We start from the raw sequence: 22,228 nt of genomic DNA on the forward strand, positions 1-22,228 counted from the left end.
TTGGGAGGCCAAGGCGGGTGGATCAACTGAGGTCAAGAGATGGAGACCAGCCTGACCAACATGACAAAACCCTGTCTCTACTGAAAATACAAAAACCAGCCAGTGTGGTGGTGTATGCCTGTAATCCCAGCTACTCAGGAGGCTGAGGCAGGAGAATTGCTTGAACCCAGGAAGCAGAGGTTGCAGTGAGCCAGGATCGCACCATTGCACTCTAGCCTGGGCAACAGAGCAAGACTCTGTCTCAAAAAAAAGAAAAAAGTAGAAAGATTTCAAATTAAAAAAAAACTAATGATGCATCTCAAAGAAAAGCAAGAACAAATCAAACTTTAAATTATAAGGAAAGCAATAATGAAGATCAGAGCAGAAATAAAATTGAGACATAAAAATAATACAAAAGAAAAATGAAACAAAAATCTGATTTTTAAAAAAGATAAACAAAATTGGCAAGCCATTAGCTAGATAAACTATGAAAAAAAGAAAGAAGACCCAAATAAACAAGATCAGAAAAGTAGACATCACAACTGATACCACAGAAATACAAATGGTCATTGGAGACTACTATGAACAACTATATGCTAATAAATTTTAAAACCTAGAGGAAATATAGAAATTCCTGGACATATATAACCTATCAAAATTGAGCCAAGAAGAAATAGAAAGTCTGAACATACCAATAATGAGTAACAATATTGTATCAGCAATAAAAAGTCTCCTTAAAAAGAAAAGTCCAGGACTGGATGGCTTCACAGCTGAATTCTGCCAGACTTTTAAAGAAGACTTAAGACTGCTTCTTCTCAAACTATTTTAAAAAATTGAAAGGCAGAAAATTCTTCCAAACTCATTCTAAAACGCAAACATAACTCTGATACCAAAACTAGGTAAGGACACAACAAAAACTACAGACCAGTGTCCATAATGAACATAGATGCAAAAATTTTGAACATAATACTATCAGGCTGAATCTAGCAGCATGTCAAAAACATCATACACCATGACCAAGTGGGGCATTTATTCCAGGGATGCAAGGATGGTTCAACATATGTAAATGTTGACCTTTTTTTTTTTGAGACAGGCTCTCACTCTGTTCACCCAGGCTGGAGTTCAGTGGCACGATCTTGGCTCACTGAAATCTCTTCCTCCTGGATTCAAGGGATCTTCCCACCTCAGCCCCCCAAGTAGCTGGGACTACAGGTGCCTGCCACCACACCTGGCTAATTTTTGTATTTTTTGGTAGAGATGGGGTTGGGTTTCACCATGTTGGCCAGGCTGGTCTCAAACTCCTGACCTCAAAGTGATCCACCCACCTTGGCCTCCCAAAGCACTGGAATTACAGGCATGAGCCGCTGTGCCCCACCAACATGTGCAAATGTTGATTGAGCTCAATAAATGTGATAAATTACAGCAACACAATGAAGGGCAAAAACCATATGGCCATCTCAATAGATGCAGAAAAAGCATTTGATAAAATTCAACATCGCTTTATAATAAAAATTTAGTAAATTAAGTATAGAAGGAAAGTACCTTAAAACAATAAAGGCTGTATATAATATACCCACAGCTAACATCATACTGAATGGAGAAAAATTGAAAGCTTTCCTCTAAGCACTGGAACAAGACAAGGATGCTCACTCTCACCACTCTTATTCAATATAGTACTGGAAGTTCTAGCTAAAGCAATTAGGCAAGAAAAGGAAATAAAAGGCATTCAGACTGGAAATGAGAGAGTCAAATTACCCTTATTTCCAGATGATATAGTCTTATATATTTAACAACCTAGAGAGCCTACCAAAAAAAAATTTTGGAAATGATAAGCAAATTCAGTGAAAGTGTAGCATACAAAAATCAACATACAAAATCCACTAGTACTTCTATACACAAACAACAAACTACCTGAAAAAGAAATCAAGACAGCAATCCCATTTACAATAACTACAAAGAAAATCAAATACCTCAGAATAAATTTAACCAATGAAATGAGAGATCTCTATAAGAAAAATTATAAAATACTTATGAAAGAAATTGAAGAGAACATTTAAAAAATGGGAAGACATTCCATGTTCATGGATTAGAAGAATTATTATTGCTAAAATGACCATACTACCCAAATCTACAGATACAATGCAATCTCTATTAAAATGCCAATGACATTCTTCACAGAAATAGAAAAAATAATTCTAAAATGTATATGGAACCACAAAAGACCCTGAATAACCAAAGCAATCCTTAACAAAATGTACAAAGCTGGAGATATCACACTACCAGACACTAAAAAATACTACAAAACTATAGTGGCCAAAACAGCATGGTACTGGCATAAAACCAGAGAGACCAGTGGAACAGAATAGAGAACCTAGAAATTAATCCACATATCTACAGCCAGCTGATTGTTGAGGAAAGCGCCAAAAATATTCACTGGAGAAAGACAGTCTCTTCAATAAATGGTGCTGGGAAAACAGAATTTCCATATGCAGATGGAAAAAGATTAGGGTCCCACCTCTCACCCTATATAAATATCAACTCAAAATAGATCAAAGACCTAAATGGAAGACCTGAAACTATAAAACTTATAGAAGAAAACAATGGAGAAACACTTCAGGACATTGGTCTGGGTAAAGATTGTATAAATAAGACTTCAAAAGCACAGTCAACAAAAACAAGAATAAACATCTGAGATTATATCATACTAAAAATCTTCTACATGGCAAAGGAAATAATCAACAGTGAAGAGACAGCCTACAAAATGGGATACAATATTTGCAAACTATTCATCAACAGGGGATTCATATCCAGAATATATAAGGAACTCAAACATCTCAGCAACAAAAATCCCTTAAACAATCTAATCAATAAATGAGCAAATGATCTCAATAGACATTGCTCAAAAGAAGACATACAAATGGCCAACAAATTTGTTAAAAAAAAAAGTTTAACTAATTTAATTAGTTTAATTCCTCTGATTAGGGAAATGCAAATCAAACCCAGTGAAGTATCATCTCACCCAGTTAGAATAGCTATTATCAAAAAGACAAAAGATAACAAATGCTGGTAAGGATGAGGAGAAAAGGGAACTCATATACACTGTCAGCAGGAATGCAAACTTGTCCAGCCACTATGGAGAACAGTATGGAGATTCCTCAAAAAACTTCAAACAGAACTAACATATGATCCAGCAGTCTCGCTACTGGGTATTTAACCGAAGGAAAGGAAGTTAGTATACTGATGAGACATCTGCACCCCCATGTTTATTGCAGCACTATTCACAGTAGCCAAGATATGGAATCGACCTAGATGTACAACAGCAGATGAATGGATAAAGAAAATGTGGCATATATACGTAATGGAATACATTCAGCCATAAGAAGAATGAGATCCAGTCCTTTGTGGCAACATGGACGGAACTGGAGGACATTATGTTAAATAAAATAAGCCAGAAACAGAAAGTTAAATACCACAGTCATATGTGGTATTTCTCACTCTTATGTGGAAGCTGAAAAAAAGTTGATCTCACAGATGTAAAAAGCAGAACAGAGGTTACTAGAGGAAAGAAAAGAGGGGGAGAGGGAGAGACTTGTTAAAGAACGTGAAATTATAGCCAGATAGGAGGAACAAGTTCTAGCGTTTTACAGCAGTATAGGATGACTCTAGTTAACATATGTTACATATTTTCAAATAGCTAGAAGACAGGATTTTGAATGTTCCCAATGCAAATAAGTCATAAATGTTTGAAATAACAGATATGCTACTTACTCTGATCTAATCACTACACATCATATATATCAAAATATCACTAGGTACTCCATAAGTATGTACAATTATTATGTGTTAATTAAAAATAAATAAACATGTCTTTTGAATAAAATGTTTTTAAATACTTAATAAAATACAGTTTATGTTGTAAAAAGTTATTCAGTGGGTTTCCAACACCTTTTCTCAGCATGATTGGTCTGGTTCCAGCTCGGCCTCATCTGGCCTCATCTCATGCCACTCTCATCTCACAGTCTGTGACTGCATCTTTCTGGTTTTCTTCCAGTTCCTCACATGGGCCACACTTTTCCAGTTTCCGGACCTTTACACATGCTGGAATCATGCCTCCACTAACTAATTTTCTTTTTTTGTTGGAGTTTGTTTGTTTTTTGGCCAGGCTGGAGTGCAGTGGTGTGATCTCGGCTCACTGTAACCTCTATCTCCTGGGCTCAAGCTGTCTTCTCACCTCTGTCTCCAGAGTAGCTGGAACTAAGGTATGCACCATGCTCGGCTAAATTTTTTTTTTTTTTTTCCGTGGAGATGGAGATTTGCCATCTTGCCCAGACTGGTCTCTAACCCCTGAGCTCAAGCGATCTACATACCGTGGCCTCCGAAACTGCTGGGATTACATGTGTGAACCACCATGCCTGACCTCAGTTAACTAATTTTTTTTTATTCAGCTTAAACATAACTTCCTCAAGGAAACATTCCATGACCCTTGTACACTGTTGGTGGGAATGTAAATTAGTACAATCATTATGGAGAACAGTTTGGAGGTTCCTCAGAAAACTAAAAATACAGCTACCATACAATCCAGTAATCCTACTGCTGGGTACATACCCAAAAGAATGGAAATCAGTATATCAAAGGCACATCTGCATTCCCATGTGTTGTTGCAGCACTGTTCACAATAGCCAAGACTTGGAAGCAACCTAAGTGTCCATCAACAGATGAGTCGATAAAGAAAATAAAGTACTATTCAGCCATACAAAAGAATGGAGTACTATTCAGCCATAGAAAGAATGAGATTCTGTCATTTGCAACAACATGGATGGAACTGGAGGTCACTATGTTAAGTGAAATGTCAGGCACAGAAAGACAAACATCACATATTCTCATTTACTTGTGGGATATAAAAATGAAAACAATTGAACTCATGGAATAGAGAATAGAATGATGGTAACCAGAGGCTGGGAAGGGCGGTGGGGAGGTTGGGGGGAGGTGGGGATAGTTAATAGGTACAAAAAATAGAAATAATACAACCTAGTACCTGACATCACAACAGAGAGACTATAGTCGATAATAATTTAATTGTATATTAAAAAATAACTGAAAGAATATAACTGGATTGTTTGTAACACCAAGGATAGATACTTGAAGGGATGGATACTCCATTTTCTATGATGTGATTACTATGCATTGTTATGCCTGTACCAAAATATCTCATGTACCCCATAAATATATACACTTGCTATGGGGTATGTACCCACAAAATTTTTTTTTAAAAAGTTCCCTTATCTCCTGACTGGATTCGAACTTCCCCTTTTGATGCTTCTGTGGCACCTTGTTCATTCCTTTGCATACTCAGAGCCCGTGTAATCATTTATTCAATTTCTGTGATACCTACTGGTTATAGGCTCCTTGAGGACAGGAATCATTGGCGTCTTTTTTGCTCTCTAGCCCTAGCCTCAAACACAGTACCAGCATAAAGTGCTTCATAAATAAATAATGAATTAATGAGCAACCATTGCAATGTCTCCTGACAAATATCCTTTTTTTGGGGGGGTGGTGGTTTTTTGAGACAGGATCTTGCTCTATCACCCAGGTTGAAGTGCAGTGGTGCAATCATAGCTCTCTGTAGCCTCAAACTACTGGGCTCAAGCAATCCTCCCACCTTGGCCTCCCAAAGTGCTGGGAGTACAGGCATGAGCCACCACACCCAGCCTATATGTGAATTTTTACTTTCTTTCTTTCTTTCTTTTTTTTTTTTTTTTTGAGGCAGAGTTTCACTCTTGTCGCCCAGGCTAGAGTGCAATGGCGTGATCTCAGCTCACTGCAATCTCTGCCTCCCGGGTTCAAGCGATTCTCCTGCCTCAGCCTTCCGAGTAGCTGGGATTACAGGCACCTGCCACCACTCCTGGCTAATTTTTATTTTTGTATTTTTAGTAGAGACGGGGTTTTGCCATGTTGGCCAGGCTGGTCTCGAACTCCTGACCTCAGGTGATCCACCCACCTCAGCCTCCCAAACTCCTGGGATTACAGGCATGAGCCACCATGCCTGGCCCACTTTCTTTCTTTTCAACAAATAAAATATTGCTGCATCTGTTTTCTCATAACATGCAGTCAGGACACACCAGAATTCACTCATTCCCCAACTATTTATTGAGGAACTAATATGTGTGAGGCATTATGCCAGGTACCTGGAGTCAACAGTGATAGAGTGTATATCTCCCTCATCCTAGGAGAGAATCTATGTAATTTCCTGTGATATAGAAAGAGAATACCTACCATTCACTTGCCTAGGGAAATCAATACTTTCTGTACTGGCTGTCCTCTTTATACGACAATATTATCTGCATATGCATTTGCATTTGCTATCCTTTTCTATTTGTATGAAGCCCATAACAAAAATATCTTTGTCAACATCAAAATGACACAGTCTCAATAACGTATTCCAAGTTACTTCTGGTGAGACTCATTTGGTTGCAAGCAACATAAACTCTTCAAGATAGCTTTAAGTTAAGGGAATTTATATGAAGATACAAATAATAGGGAAGATTAACTGTCTCTGAAATTTTGAAACAAAAGCCGTTATAGGGACTGGATCGAGAGAGGGTTTCTAGATCTGTGGCTGCTCTAGGGACTTGAGCTGCCACTCAGACATTCCTACACCTTGGCATTCTACCCTCTAGGGCTCTAGTTTTGGTATGACTTTATCTACCAACTGGGTTCTTTTATTCTTGTCCTAGTACCAACTGTTCTACTTACTCAGTTTCCGCTTCTTTGTAACTTTGGCTGGAACACAGCCATTTCTTCTTAACGTCCCTACTCTATTCTTTTCAGTGTTTGTCCTGTGACCTTTTCTGTGTTTGTCACTAGCACAAATTGACTACATTTCTCCTTATCTAAGTCCAAGTTTTCAAGACAGAGCACTTCACTACCCCAGTTCATTTTAATGCACCAGAGGTTGCTGGCTGGCCAGTGGATTGCCTTCCCTCAGGTCAGGTTCCCTTTCTCATCAGATCAGCAGATGCCAGAAAATAAGCATGGCATGCCACAAGATGTGGCTGGTGCTCCACTGACTCACACTTGCAGGGCTGTGGAGAGCGGATTTCTGTAGCATGAAACTTGGGCAATGCATATGCAAGAGAAACTAATCTTATTTTCAGGCAGACTTTGAAGATTGACAGATTAGTGGTTTATTTATTGTAATCTTTAAATATGAAATAATTTCTTTAATTGGCAAAAACCATACCCATATTGAAGTCAGAAATATGGAATGTCACTTTGGTGCACTTGTTAAAATTCTGAGGAAGCGGAATGCAAAGAGAATAGGATCTTCTGGTCAAATGACTTCCTTGGTTCATAATAATCATTCACCCAGTGAGAATTTATTGAGTATTTACTATGCACCAGGCACAGTTCTAGACCTGCGATTACAGAAACACATAAGATAGATATGGCCCCTGTCCTTTTGTATATCAACTATTGATATTTTTAAAGTCTTAAATGTATTGGTCTATTCTCTGAAGTAAATAGATTTAACGTAGTTGGAGTTTTCTTGATGACTGAAAATGTTAAAAATAATCTTATTGAAGATTGACATAGATTTAATACAATAGAGAAGACAGGGGAAGCTGGACTGGCAATCCCACAAGATTCTTCAGGAAATTGCTGTTTAAAAATGCCATCTCTTGGATTAGCTGGTTGGCCTTAATTTCTATCATTCCTTTATATTTCACATACAGAGATAAAAAGAATGTTTATTGAAGTTCCGGTGAAAATTAATTTTGAGTAATTGAGGGAATATGGTTTGGATGGTCCCCAATGTTGAAGATGGGGCCTGGTGGGAGGTGTTTGGGTTATGGGGGAAGATTCCTTATGAATGGCTTGGTGCTCTCCTCATGGTAATGAGCATGTTCTTGCTCTGAGTTCAAGCAAGATCTGTTGTTTAAAAGAATATGGTATGTCCTCCCCCTCTCTTTCTTGCTTCCTCTCTTGCCATATGACATGCCTGCTCCCCCTTCACCTTCCACCATGATTGGAAGCTTCCTGAGGCCCTCTCCGGGAGGAGATGCTGGTACCATGCTTCCTGTACAGCCTGCAGACGGACGTGCGAGCCTATTAAATCTCTTTTCATTATAAATTACCGAGTCTCCAGGATTTCTTTACAGCAATGCAAAAATGAACTAACACATTAGGTTTTACTTCATTTTTATTTTAAGTGATTTTAATTTTTATTTTATTAATTTTAATTACACACAATACTTATACAGATTTTGGTGACATTATCAATATTAATTTTTTCAACATATATAGATCCATAGTTTTAAAACTTAAAAAAAATATATGGGCATAGTGTCTCACACCTGTAATCCCAGCACTTTGGGAGGGTGAGAGGGGTGGATCACCTGAGGTCAGGAGTTCGAGACCAGCCTGACCAACATTGTGAAACCCTGTCTCTACTAAAAATGCAAACATTAGCTTGGCCTGGTGGCACACGCCTGTAATCCCAGCTACTTGGGAGGCTGAGGCAGGAGAATCGCCTGAACCCAGAAGGCAGAGGTTGCAGTGAGCCAAGATAGCACCAGTGTATCCCAGCCTGGGCAACAAAAGCAAAACTCTGTCTCAAAAACAAAAACAAAAACAAAAACACACACACACACACAAAAACAAACAAACAAAAAACAAAAAACCAAAGGCTTATAGTGAAATCCATAGCCATGTGCCCTGTCTCCCCAAGTCCTGTTCCAGCAGTAACCACTCTCAACATTTCTAGCTCTTTCTACTGGTATTTACCTCCATATTTCCAACTGATATGCTTAAACTATAAATGTTCTGTTCTATCTATTTTAGGTAGTATTTATTGACTTTCTGTCATGGTAGAAAAAAAATCTCACCTATTCCATTTCTTACTCCCAATTCCCCTCCTAACATTACCTTGGTATAGTTATGACACAGCTTTTGGTGAAGTCAAATATCATCCCCCTTCTGTGACTTGTGAACTATGACCAGGTCTCTTTATCATATAATCCTCCATTTTACTAAGAATAAGCATTTTCTTGTTTTCATCTGTGATACTTTATGCACCAGTGGCTAATTTTTCCTAGTGTTCTTTTATCATTGTCTTACACTCATCAGTAATATTTTCCAGATACTCAACTGTATCAATTACTTTTTGTGTTTTCTCTGGGGTCCTCTGTCCTCCTGCTTCAGCTTGGACTGTTTTCTTCCCAAGTTGGCTATACAAGTTTTATCCTGTCACTTTCCTTCACTGTCATCTCAGGACTTTGCTTATGCCATTGTCCTGTGTTAGACCTTTTATTTTACCTTCCTCTTTCTTGGCTTACTCCTTTGTTTTAGTGGAACACATCCTCCAGTAACTTCTCAATAACTTGTAAATGGGAGAGCATTGTTTTGAGGATGTGTATGTCAGAAAATGCCTTGATTCTAATATCAGTGTGTGTGGTATATTCGAATCCAGAATTCTGGACTGAAGATCATTGTCACTCAGAATTTGAAGAAAGGCCTCCATCATCTCCTAACTTTTGATGTTGCCACTCAGCAGTCTACTATTGGTCTGACTCACACTCTTTTGTGAGTTGTTGTTTCTAGAAGCTTTTAGAATCTTTACCTCTTGTGTTTTGCAATTTCATAATGGCAAGTTTTGACAGTCTTTGGTCATTTGTTATGCTGGACCCTTGGTGAGTCCTGTCACCTAGAACTCAAGCCCTTCAATTACAGGAAATGATCTCATTTTATTGTTTGATAATTTTCTCCTCCTATTTTCTCACTTCTCCTTATGATACTTCTATTAGTTCCTATAGGACTTTTTAGACTGATCCTGTAATTTTCTTTTCTTTCATATTTTCTATCACTTTAACTTTGCTTCTATTGTACATGAGATTTCTTCAATATTTCAGCCCTCTCATTTTTTAGAAATGCCTCATTTTTAATCTCAAAGAAATATTTCTTTTTATTTTTCATGTATCCCAAAATCCATACAAAGGATCAACAAAACCAAAAGCTGGTTCTTTTAACGAACAAACAAGATCGATAGACCACTACTAGATTAATAAAGAAAAAAAGAGATAAGATCCAAATAAGTGCAATCAGAAATTTCAAAGGTGACATCAAAACCAATCCCATAGAAATACAAAGGCTCTTCAGAGACTATTATGAACATCTCTATGTACACAAACTAGAAAATCTAGAAGAAATAGACTTCTATAAACACACAACCTTCCAAGACTGAGGCAGGAAGAAACCAAAACCAGAACAGACGAATATTGAGTTCTGAAATTGAATCAGTTAATAAAAAACCTACGAACCAAAAAGAGCCCTGGACCAGTTGGATTCACAGCTGAATTGTACCAGACATACAAAAAACAGCTGGTACCAAACCTACTGAAACGATTCCAAAAAATGGAAGAAGAGAGACTCCTCCCAAACTCATTATACAAAGCCAGCATCACTCTGATACCAAAATCTGACAAAGACACAACAAAAAAGAAAGCTACAGACCAATATCCCTGATGAACATAGATACAAAAATCCTCAACAAAGTATTAGCAAACCACATCCAACAGCCGTTCTTATTCTAGATGCAATATCTTAATGTACTGAGGGTATTTATTGTTTTAGCTTTTTGTCTTTAAATAATTATAGATTCAAATTTACAAAGATAGTACAGGGAGGCTGCAAGTACCCTTCACCCAGTTTCCCACAATGGTTACATCTTACATACTTATAATGCAATATCAAAATCAGGAAATTGACATTGGGGCAATGCACATGTATAGTTCTATGTCACATCACTGTTGTAGGACTCTCTCCTTAGTTCAGCTAAAGACGAGGTCCCTGTCACATGGCCATGAAAAATTAGGCTTACAGACAATTTGAAGGGTGAGAATAATGGAATTCATTGGGCAAAAAGGAAAAAAGGGAAACAGGGCCTCTCCACAAATCTAGAGTCCCTGCTAGTGTGCTTCCTGCGTCACAGATTGAATTCCAGGTTCCACCCAGGAAGAGGAGGGGCCAAGCTCCTCCCTGATGCAAACGGCGGAACTCCAGTGCACTGATCAGTTGGGATTGCTTTGGGGACCCCTTCCCACCTGGCTGTGTCATCACCACAAAGATCTCCCTCATGCTATCCCTTAATAGACACACCCTCACTCCCCCCACCACAGAATATTAAAATTAATTTTTTTTTCTGTTTTCAGCCTGGTATTTTTTCTTCATGTTCCATTTTTTTCTGTACTTTTTTTTTCTAGTGCTCTTTCATTTTGAAAGCTACCTACAAATGTCTGGCAGTCTTGCCTATTATTCATATTCAAGCATGAAGCGAATTGCAGGGTCAGCTTGTGCATAAGTTGTAGGGCCCACCAAAGGGAGATCAGTCGGTACATCAACTTCTTCATTGCCAAAGGGTCCTGCAAATGTTGGTGCCTGAGATGTTTTCTCTAGATTCATTCACATAGTCCAGAGAAGATGCTTCCAATCTCCCCAGGGATGGGGAGAATTGTAAGCCTGACTGCTAGCTTCCTTAAAGCAGAGCGTTGTGGGAGGGTATTGAGAGTCTACTATTCAATGTGCAGATTTCAAGTTAATTTCCTTGTTTTCAACTTCTACCCATCTATTCTCACTCACATTCATCATTATTCTCCTGAACTTCTCAAGTTCAGTTTCCATAGAGAATAAACCTCCAGGCCAGGCGCCATGGCTCCTGCTTGTAGCCCCAAGCAGGGGAGGCTGAGGCAGGCAGATCACTTGAGGTCAGGACTTCAGACCAGCCTGAACAACATGGTGAAACCTCATCCCTGCTAAAAATACAAAAATTAGCCAGGTGCCCTGGCTCATGCCTGTAATCCCAGCACTTTGGGAGGCCGAGGCGGGTGGATCACTTGAGGTCAGGAGTTCTAGACTAGCCTGGCCAACATGGAGAAACCCCATCTCTACTAAAAATACAAAAGTAGCCGGGCCTGGTGGTGGGCACCTGTAATCACAGCTACTCAGGAGGCTGAGGCAGGAGAATCACTTGAATCCAGGAGGTGGAGGTTGTGGTGAGCTGAGATCACACCACTGCACTCCGGCCTAGGTGACAGAGTGAGACTCTGTCTCAAAAACAAACAAAAAAAAAACAAAAAAACAAAACAACAACAACAAAAAAAACATTAGCGAGGCATGGTGGTGGGCACCTATAGTCCTAGCTACTCAGGGGGCTGAGGCAGGAGAATCGCTTGAACCTGGGAGGTAGAGGTTGCAGTGAGCCAAGATTGCACCACTGCACTCTAGCTGGGCTCTGGGAGGGCACTTGCCTAGCTTCATGAGGAGAGGGGAGGTTGTCTAATCACTCCACATACAGCCTTCCAGAAAATGCCCCATTCCCACCTTTGCCTCATGGCACCTCACACCTGTGTTAAGCCTTTTTGTGCCTCTGAAGAGGAATCACTCATTTCTCATCAAACTTCCCCTCTGTAGACGCCAACATTGTTACAAATCTTCCATCAACCAGATTTTTTGTTGAAATTTTTCTCACCAGATGCTGTTTCATATTCAATCCACTTTGTCCTCTTGGACTTCTGTATTTTTTTTACTTCCTTTATAGATATTTTATTAAGGTTCTAGGAGGGTGGGTGAAAGCACATTTAGTTTGCCATGGTTATGCAGCATACAACAATCTTTTTTAAAAAAATATTTATATATATGATGAAAATGGAACTTTTGTCTTACATAATTTCAAATATAGAAGTAATGCGAGATCGTATTTCATAAAAGGTATCACAAAAAAGATTTTCACTGTTTCAGAAGATAGTAATATTTTTGCCTCATTCATCTTTAAAACTTTATTGGGTGATATGTGGTTCTATCTTCCACACATATTTACCCCAATTTTCTGCTATTGCAATATCAAAGTTGTGAAATTTGACAGGAAATGTGAGGGAAGGCTACGTTGAAATGAGCTCTAGACAAGATGTCCTTTTGCTTCTAGAGTTTAGCACCTCTAACAAAAGGTAGGGACCCTCATGGCTCTTTCTTTTAGGATCCTTGGAAGACTATTTGAATGATCGATGATTTTTGTCGGCTCTTGTCTCCCGTGTCTTCTAGAGTCAGGCTGCTTCTCACTGACCAAGGCCCAGGGGTGTCAAGCAGCAGGGAGGAAGCTGGGTACAGGGGTTATTAAATTGAAAAGCTGACTTTGAAAAATACAAGTAAGCTCTCCTGAAGTTTCAAGTCTGGCAGCAAGCATGGAGGCAAGAGAGAGAACTCTCCAGGAGGAAAGAAGTTAGCAAGAATGAGAATAAACACAAAAGTAGACATTAATGGAGAGTGAAAGACAATGGAGAAAGTATAAGATGAAACTGAAAGCAAGATGGAAGACAGAACATATACCAAGCAGGAAGAAAGCAAATATTGATCTGAACAGAACTAAAGTTAGCACATTTATTTATTTAATAAATATTCAGTAAGTATCTATTGAGCAGCCACTATGTACAAGCTTTGTAGAGGAGAAACTAAAATAGACCAACAAACATTTTTTGAAAAAGAGAGGAAGGAAGGAATATCAGATAGTGGGAATTAAAATAGGTTGATATAGTTAAGAAGAACAAGGTGGCTCCAGATGTTTAAGCTCAAATTTGAATGACAAGAAGAAGCCAGCCCTGCGGAAGTCATGATAAATAATCAGCAAAATGCGAGTGAGACTGCCACAAGATATCATTTACACCTACCAGACTGACAAGACTTGAAAAGTTAAGTGATACCAAATATTGACAAGGGTAGAGGGCAATAGGAATGCTCCTTCACTGATAATAAGACTGTAAATTGGTATAACCACTTTGAAATCAATTTCATGTTACTTAAAAAAAGGAATATGCTTATATCCTAGAACCCGCAAGTCTATACCTAGTTATATAGAATCAATCTTGCACATGTGTATTAGGAGATATGTTTCAGAAAGTTTAGTTTATTGTAATAGCAAAAAGCTGGGAAACTTCAAATGTCCATCAACAGTAGAACAGATAATTGTATTTTGGTATTTTGATGTAATGAAATACTACACAGCTGTGAAAATGGATGAATTACAGCTTTACACACCAACATGATGAATCTTAGGAACATAAAGCAAAGTGAAAAAGCAAGTGGCAGAAGTATTGTGATTCCACTAACATTCAATCCAAACAACATATTGCTTAGAGATAGAAACAGATGTAGGAAAACTATAATGAAAAGCAAGAGGATCTCAACACAAAATTTAGGCTAGTGTTTATCTCAGACTAAGTAGGAGAGGGGCTGAGATCAGGAAGGAATTCACAGATTTTATGGTAAATGATTGAAATGGTTAGCAGGTCCATGAATGTAAGATATGTTGTCATTCTGTAAACATGATGTGCATTTTATAAATATAGCATTAGTTCATAAATTAATGGATTAATAATTAATCCATTAATTGTAAACATATTTACTATAAATTATTTTAATTATTTTGTCTTTACATATAATAATATAATTAACTTATATTATTATAAATAAGAATATAAATTATTTTATTATTATAATTATGGATCAATAATTCATTAATTAATGTATGGATTAATTATTAACTAGATGTTTAAAAGTGTTTTTAACCAAGACCAAAACAATGCAAGGAGAACATTCTGGGCAGAGGAGACATCAAGTATGAAGGCCATAAAATGGGACAAGCTGGATGCCTCCCAGGATAGGAGAGAGGCCAGCATGGCTGGAACAAAGTAAGCAGGGCAGGGTAGAGAAAAATGAGGTTGGAGTGGCTGAAGTACATAGGGCTATTGATGGTGAGAGAACACAAGTTTCAAGATATCAAGGACTCAAAAATGTCAAATCGCCTGAGTGAGGCGAGAAGAGTGAATGGGCTGGAGGTAATAGGATGGTGCTCAGATGGTGAGAGGTTTGGAGCTGAGGTTTCAGAGGTGATGCAATGATTGGTAATGACAATGTCACGATTTCAGGAGTGTGTGATTTCAGGAGTGCATGGATGAGGTATGTGGAAAAACAAAATACTATAGGCAAGGAGGTTAAGAAAGTAGAAGGCAGGGTGGGGGCAGTCACCCACATGGGTGAAGGGTCTGGACAAGCCTAACAAGTTGCTTGTACAGCAGTCACGTTGGTTGACCACAGAGCCACCTTTCCCACCACCTACCACACCTGCCACCTGATCCAACTCTGACTCCTAGTCTTCAGCTTCCACGAATGAATGGGAGTTCAGATAGGTAAGTAAGCCTGAATGGTAGCATGCATAAACTTCAAGAGGCAGCATTGTGTGAGGGGACAAACACACTGGCCCCAGGTGGGCAGGAGGCTAGGCAGTGGGCCACGTGGTCTCTTCTCATGGGATTTCACATCGGCAGTGAGCTTCCTAAACTCACAAATGGTATGTTTATATTCCTTTTTTGGGAATGGTGACAGAGATGAGCCTCATGCCTGTATCTGATACAGGGCCAAAGCATGATGGCACACACAGGTGTAGAAACCTAGAAGAAGATAAAAGCAGGAGAAGTCAGGCCCAGAAACTCTTAGAATACAAGGGGACCCCTTGAGGGGTCACAGGTCCTGAGAAGGAGGTACCTGTTTAGACTAACCATGCCTGTGATAAGCAGAGGGTGTCTTAGTCTGTTTGGGCTGCTATAATAAATACCATAGATGGGGTGACTTATAAGCAAGAAACATTTATTTCTCACAGTTCTGGAGGCTTGGAAGTCCAAGATCAAGGCACTGGCAGATTCCATGTTGGGTGAGGGCCCATTTCCTGGCTCAAACATGTTGCTTTCTAGCTGTGTCCTCACATGGTGATATAAATGGGCAAGGCAGCTCTCTAGAACTTCCATTAAAAGCACACTCATCTCATAATCACCTACCAATGACTTCACTTCCTGGGAATTGGCTTGTGACCATTGCCTTGTGGGTATAACATATGAATTTTCAGGGGACATAAACATTATATATCCATCAGATATAACCTCTCATTTGTCCAAAAAGGGAACTGGGTCTCAAAGAGGTTAAATAATTTGCCCAAGATCATTCACTTGCCAAAATGGCAGGAGCAGGATTTGAACGTAGGCCCACTGGACTCCAAACATGTGATCTTCACCATTCACTGGCAACAAGAGGAGGAAAATACTTCCACTGAGTTCTAAAGGCTGAGTAAAATTATCCAGAAAAAGGAAGAGAAGGTAAGAGGTGGAGGAAGTGGTACCAGGCAGAGGGAGCCCAGGAATGAGCAGAGCCAAGAATGTGAGAGAGTATGATGTGTCCAGGTACCTGCAAAGGCCACACACAAGACCACTATGTTCCCAACACAACACATGTTCTCACCTCCAAGCAAGTGAGCTGTTCCTTCCTTCCAGAATTCCTCCCTGTCAGCCTTTAGGTCAATAACTTTTCCTTGTTCTTCAAAATTTATTTCAAGTGTTAATTTTTCCAGGTTTTCTCAAAGGCCTAGGAATTGGCTAGGGGCTCTTTGCACTCCAGCAAGGTGTTGGTCTGCATTTTCCCTGCAGGAGAAAGATGAGAGAATTTAAGAAGCTGTGTCTCCCTGTGCATAAAAGGATACAGCCTCACTTCTATGAGGTTCCTTCCAAGAATATAACATGATTGCCACCATGAGGAAACATCAGGAAAACCCAGATTGAAGGATCTACTACAAAATAACTCATCTCTCAGAATCATGAAAGAAAGAAAAATCAAGGATTTGACCCACATTAAAGGAGATTAAAGGGTTATGACAAAAAATGCAATGTGTGATTTTGAATTAGAAGTGGCAAATTTTGAATTAGAACACAAGTGGCAAATTTTGAATAATGTATATATTTTTAAAAACATAATACTATCATATCAATGTTAATTTTCTGATTTTGATCACTGAAGTCTCACTGTGTAAAAGAATATCCTTATCTTTCAGAAATACCCATTGAAATATAAAAATATTTGGAGGTAAAGAAACTTCATTTCTGCATCCTAGACTCACACATCTCAGAAGTACAAATATGCACACACACACATACACACACATAGAGAAGTTCACACGAATGTGAACATTTGTACTACCCAAAGCAATTTAAAGATTCAATGCAATCCCTATCAAAATATCAATGACATTCTTTACAGAAATAGAGAAAAAAATTCTAAAATTTGTATGGAACCACAAAAGACTCTGAATAACCAAAGCAATCCTGAACAAAATGAACAAAGCTGGAGACATCATACTACCAGATTTCAAACTATGCTACTAAGCTGTAGCAACAAAACAACATAGTACTGGTGTAACAACAGACACATAGACCAATGGAATAGAATAAAGAACCTGGAAATCAATCCATGTATCTACAGCCAGTGGATTTTTGACAAAAGTACCAAGAACATTGACTAAGGAAAGGACAGTCTCTTCAACAAATTGTTCTGGGAAAACAGAATATCCACATGCAGAAGAAAAACTAGAATCCTACCTATCACCCTATATAAATATCAACTCAAAATGGATCAAAGACCTAAATGGAAGACCTGAAACTATAAAACTACTAGAATAAACAATGGGGAACCACTTCAGGACATTGATCTGGGAAAAGATTATATGAATAAGATCTCAAAAGCACAGGCAACAAAAGCAAGAATAAACACCAGAGATTATGTTACACTAAAAAGCTTCTGCATAGAAAAGGAAACAATCAACAGAGTGAAGAGACAGTCTACAGAATGGGATATAATATTTGCAAACTATTCATCGACAGGGGTTAATATCCAGAAGATACAAGTAACTCAAACATCTGAACAGCAAAAATTCATCTAATTCAACTAAACAATTCAATTAATAAATGAGTAAATGATCTCAACAGACATTTGCTCAAAAGGCATACAAATGGCCAACAAATATATGAAAAAATGTTTAACATCACTAATTTCCCTGATGAGGGAAATGCATATCAAACTCACAGTGAAGCATCATCTCACCCCAGTTAGGATAACTATTATTAAAAAGACAGAAAATAACAAATGCTGTTGAGGATGAGGTGAAAATGGAACTCATATACACTGTTGGTGGGAGTGTAAACTAGTCCAACCACTGTGGAGAACAGTGTAGAGGTTCCTCAAAAAACTACAAACAGAACCACCATATGATCCAGCAGTCTCACTACTGGGTATTTATTCAAAGGAAAGGAAATCAGTATATTGATGAGACATGTGCACTTCCATGTTTATTACAGCACTTTTCACAACAGCCAAGATATGGAATCAATCAGGTGTACAACAGCAGATAAAGAAAATATGGCACATATACGTAATGGAATACTATTCAGCCATAAAAAGGATGAAATCCTGTCATTTGTGGCAACATAGGTGGAACTGGGGGACATTATATTAAGTGAAATAAGCCAGAAACAGAAAGTTAAATACCACATGTTCTCACTCATGTGTGGAAGCTTAAAATGTTGATCTTACAGAAGTAGAAAGCAGAACAGAGAATACTAATAGCTGGGAGAAGTAGAGATAAGGGAGTGATGGGAAGAGATTTGTTAAAGGATGCAAAACTACAGCTATACAGGAAGAACAAGCTCTAGTGTTCTATACCATTGTAGAATCACTGTAGTTAACAATATTGTTTCACATAGCTAGGATGATATTAAATGTTCCCAACACAAAGAAATAATAAATGTTTGAGATGATGGATATGCTTATTAACCCTGATCTGATCACTATATATTACATGTATCGCATCATTATGTGCCCCCAAAATATATACTATTATGTGTATTTTTTAAATTAAAAACAAATCAGTCAATAATAAAGAATATCAGCAGTACCTTCAAAGGTCTGGAGTACCTCTCCCTGATCCTGTCTCCCACCCTCCATCTGTGACAACCACTATGTTGCATTATGTTCATCATTCACTTGCTTTGAAAAACAAAAACAAAAAACGTTTCTACCACCTATGGGTAGATCTCTAGTGTAAACAACGTAATGCTTGGCTTTGTCTGTGAAATTTATGTTAAGTGATCACTAATGAACGTCTTCCATGATTTGACTCTTTTGCTCAAGTTTGTTTTTAACATTTGTCAAATGTTAAAATTTGTACAATAGAATACAAACCCTAATTAGCCTTATGCTAATTAGCCATATGCTCATTAGGGTTTGTATTAGCTAATGTGGCTAATTACGGTTTGTATTGCATTGCACAAATATGTCACAATTTCCTTAATCATAGAAATGTCAACATTTGGGGAATCTAAGCAAAAGGGTATGGGAATTTTCTGTACTACTTTTGCAACTTTCTCTAATTATGAAATGATTTTAAAGTAAAAAGTTTTTTCTAATTCCTCTTAGAGCTAAGGAAGAAGAGGGGAAGCAGAAGAAAAAGGAGGAAGAGGCCGGGACAGTGGCTCACGCCTATAATCCCAGCACTTTGGGAGGCCAAGGCGGGCGGATCACGAGGTCAGGAGATGAAGACCATCCTGGCTACCATGGTGAAACCCCGTCTCTACAAAAAAAAAAAAAAAAAAAAAAAAAAATTTGCAGGGCGTGGTGGCGGGCGCCTGTAGTCCCAGCTACTCGGGAGGCTGAGGCAGGAGAATGGCGTGAACCCGGGAGGCGGAGCTTGTAGTGAGACCAGATGGGGCCACTGCACTCCAGCCTGGGCGACAGAGCAAGACTCCGTCTCAAAACAAAAAAAAAAAAAAAAAAGAAAAAGGAGGAGGAAGGAAGGAGATAAGAAAGAGGAAGAGAAGGAAAAAGACAAGAAACAGGAGGAGGAGGAAGACAAGAAAGAAGAGGGGGAGGGAGAGGAAGAGGAGGCGGAGAAGGAGGAAGAAAAAGACAAGAAGGGAGGAGGAGGGGAAAGAAGACAAGGAAGAGGAGGAAGAGAAGGAGGGAAAAGGAAGAGAAAAAGGACAATGAAGAGGGGAAGGAGGAGGAGGAGCAGCAGCAGCATCTCCTGTTCTCTTCCCTCTCCACACACACCCCTGCAGGCTCTCTTACAATGAGATGTCTGTACATAAACGCAGTGTTGCCTTTGCCACGTGGTTTCCAATCTGATCACACTTTCAAAATTTTCTCTACAGAATTTAGTTGTGGGGAACTAGAGACCCAAACAACTTGCTTCAAAAAGGGGAATGAGGTATGCACTAGGCACCCTGCTACCTCCTTCAGTTCTTCCAGGGGCATCCAGTCTCCTCTCGGCTAGCAGCCCTTCTGCTTCTTGCAGTGGGCTTATTCTCCTCTATGGCTCCAACAGCTAGGCCAGCTACCTCATGCGCTGGCCTGTGTGAGGCCACCAGGTCACCCTGGGGCCTTTCTGCTCCTTGAAGTTTTACTCTGTGCTCCTGCTGCTCGCCACCCTGTCTTCTGATCCTTTAGATCTTGAAAAGCAAGGATCTGACTGGCCCAACGCATCTTTCACACCAGGTGATGAGATGAATGTCCCAGGCCAGCTTAAGGCCTGGGACCCCTGGGGTCAGGTGTGGTTGGAGAGGAGGGGAAGGGACCCAACAGGCTGCTGAGTTGCAGGGGCTGCAAGTAGGACAGTTCCCCCTTAGCAGAGAAAGGGTGTGGAAGACATTCTCAGGCTCAGCCTGTCAAAGAAAATCTTGAATATTTTGGTCTCCTGAGCTGATCTAGAAGAAAGAACCAGTATCCGTTGTTTTCATCTAAAAAAAAAATCTACATGACCTCTCTCTTCTCTCTCTGGTTTTCTCACACACACACACACAGATACACACATATATACACCTCAGTGCCTTCTTTTCATTTCAGCCTGGCACGCTGTTAACACTTTTGGTGCGTTTTTATTCCCAGAAAGATGGCGTTTCTGTCCTACCTTTCAACTCCACAGAGAACGCATGTGAAGTTGCTTTTCCTGTGACTGTTGGTTTTGTAAGTCGTACTCACCAGGTCCACATTTACCCGCCTATGGCTTATAACTGCAACATCTGATGACTGGATTAGATCACTTGCAGGGTGTCTTTCAGCTCTAAAATCTGTGGTTCAGCAGCTCATGAGAAATCGGACCCTTAGTTCCTTAGACACAAGCAAAGCTGCCTGGTCTTTCAACTGGAAACCTTTTGAGGCAAAGCTGTGTCACCAGTGCCCTCTCGTGGGCAGATCTGAGACCCACAGTACCTTGAAATTACAAAATTGTAGCAACACTCAGATAATGATTAATGTTTAATTGAGGGCTTACGAAGTGTTAGGTGCTGATCTACAAATATCACACACGTTACCTAATTTAACCCTCACAACACCCCTATGCAATACGTGGTGTGGTTACTACTACTTTTTCTTTTTCTTCCCCCCAAGATGGAGTCTCACTCTGTTACCCTGGCTGAAGCACAGTGGTGCGATTTCCGCTCACTGCAACCTCCACCTCCCGGGTTCAAGCGATTCTCTTGCCTCAGCCTCCCGAGTAGCTGAGATTACAGGAGCCTGCCACCACACCCGGCTTTTTTGTATTTTTAGTACAGACTGGCTTTCACCATGTTGGCCAGACTGGTCTCGAACTCCTGACCTCAGGTGATCTGCCCGCCTCGGCCTCCTAAAGTGCTGGGATTACAGGCGTGAGCCACTGTACCCAGCCGTTTGTGGGTAGAAATTAGGGATGCAGGGTGTGGGTAACTGTCGGGGCAACTGTGTGTGTGTAGAAAGAGGGCACTATGGATGGAACCCACAGCCTAACTTAGTTTAGTCCTGCTTCTTTAACGAGATCCTCTGGGGTTCCAGTTAGGACTTTGTTTGCTAGATGACAGAAATGTTCTATATTGCCAGGCGCGGTGGCTCACACCTGTAATCCCAGCACTTTGGGAGGCCGAGGCAGGCGGATCACTTGAGGTCAGGAGTTCGTGACCAGTCTGGCCAACATGGCAAAACCCCATCTCTACTAAAAATACAAAAATTAGCCGGGCATGGTGGCAGGCGACTGTAATCCCAGCTACTCGGGAGGCTCAGGCACAAGAATTGCTTCAACCTGGGAGGTGGAGGTTGCAGTGAGCCAAGATCTCGCCACTGCACTCCACTCTGGGTAACAGAGTGAGACTGTCGCAAAAAAAAAAAAAAAAAAAAAAAAAAACAACTAAATGTTCTATATCTTAACTGGGGAGTACACATGGATGTATATCTTTGTCAAAACTTCATCAGACAATACACTTAAAATGGTTATATTTTATTCTATACAAGTTATACTTCAATACAGTTGATTTTAAAGTTCTGTGTGTGGTTTCTGAAAAAAAGTCACTTGGAAATCCAC

At 39.6% G+C, this 22,228-nt stretch overlaps 1 long non-coding RNA gene across 1 annotated transcript in view, besides 2 other annotated features; it reads right to left on the minus strand.

Moving 5' to 3' along the window:
- The window catches only part of LOC105370194 (uncharacterized), a 47,059-nt gene extending 26,030 nt beyond the window's left edge, over positions 1 to 21,029 (minus strand). Inside the window, exons 1-2 of the long non-coding RNA XR_941946.4 lie at positions 20,878 to 21,029; positions 16,315 to 16,493 (exon numbers count right to left, since the gene is read on the minus strand). This is a non-coding gene — a long non-coding RNA (uncharacterized LOC105370194). The remainder of the gene's footprint in view (positions 1 to 16,314; positions 16,494 to 20,877) is intronic.
- Positions 18,660 to 19,208: an enhancer, noted in NCBI's record as "NANOG hESC enhancer chr13:46893525-46894073 (GRCh37/hg19 assembly coordinates)". NCBI's record gives its function as "activates a minimal SCP1, AML or CMV promoter by ChIP-STARR-seq in naive H9 embryonic stem cells {active_cell/tissue: H9 hESC(naive)}" and the evidence as "EXISTENCE:reporter gene assay evidence [ECO:0000049][PMID:30033119]".
- Positions 20,266 to 20,765: an enhancer, noted in NCBI's record as "H3K4me1 hESC enhancer chr13:46895131-46895630 (GRCh37/hg19 assembly coordinates)". NCBI's record gives its function as "activates a minimal SCP1, AML or CMV promoter by ChIP-STARR-seq in naive H9 embryonic stem cells {active_cell/tissue: H9 hESC(naive)}" and the evidence as "EXISTENCE:reporter gene assay evidence [ECO:0000049][PMID:30033119]".
- Positions 21,030 to 22,228: the final 1,199 nt, after the last annotated feature.

This window comes from Homo sapiens, chromosome 13, assembly GCF_000001405.40.
Source record: "Homo sapiens chromosome 13, GRCh38.p14 Primary Assembly".
In the NCBI taxonomy this organism is placed as follows: domain Eukaryota; kingdom Metazoa; phylum Chordata; class Mammalia; order Primates; family Hominidae; genus Homo; species Homo sapiens.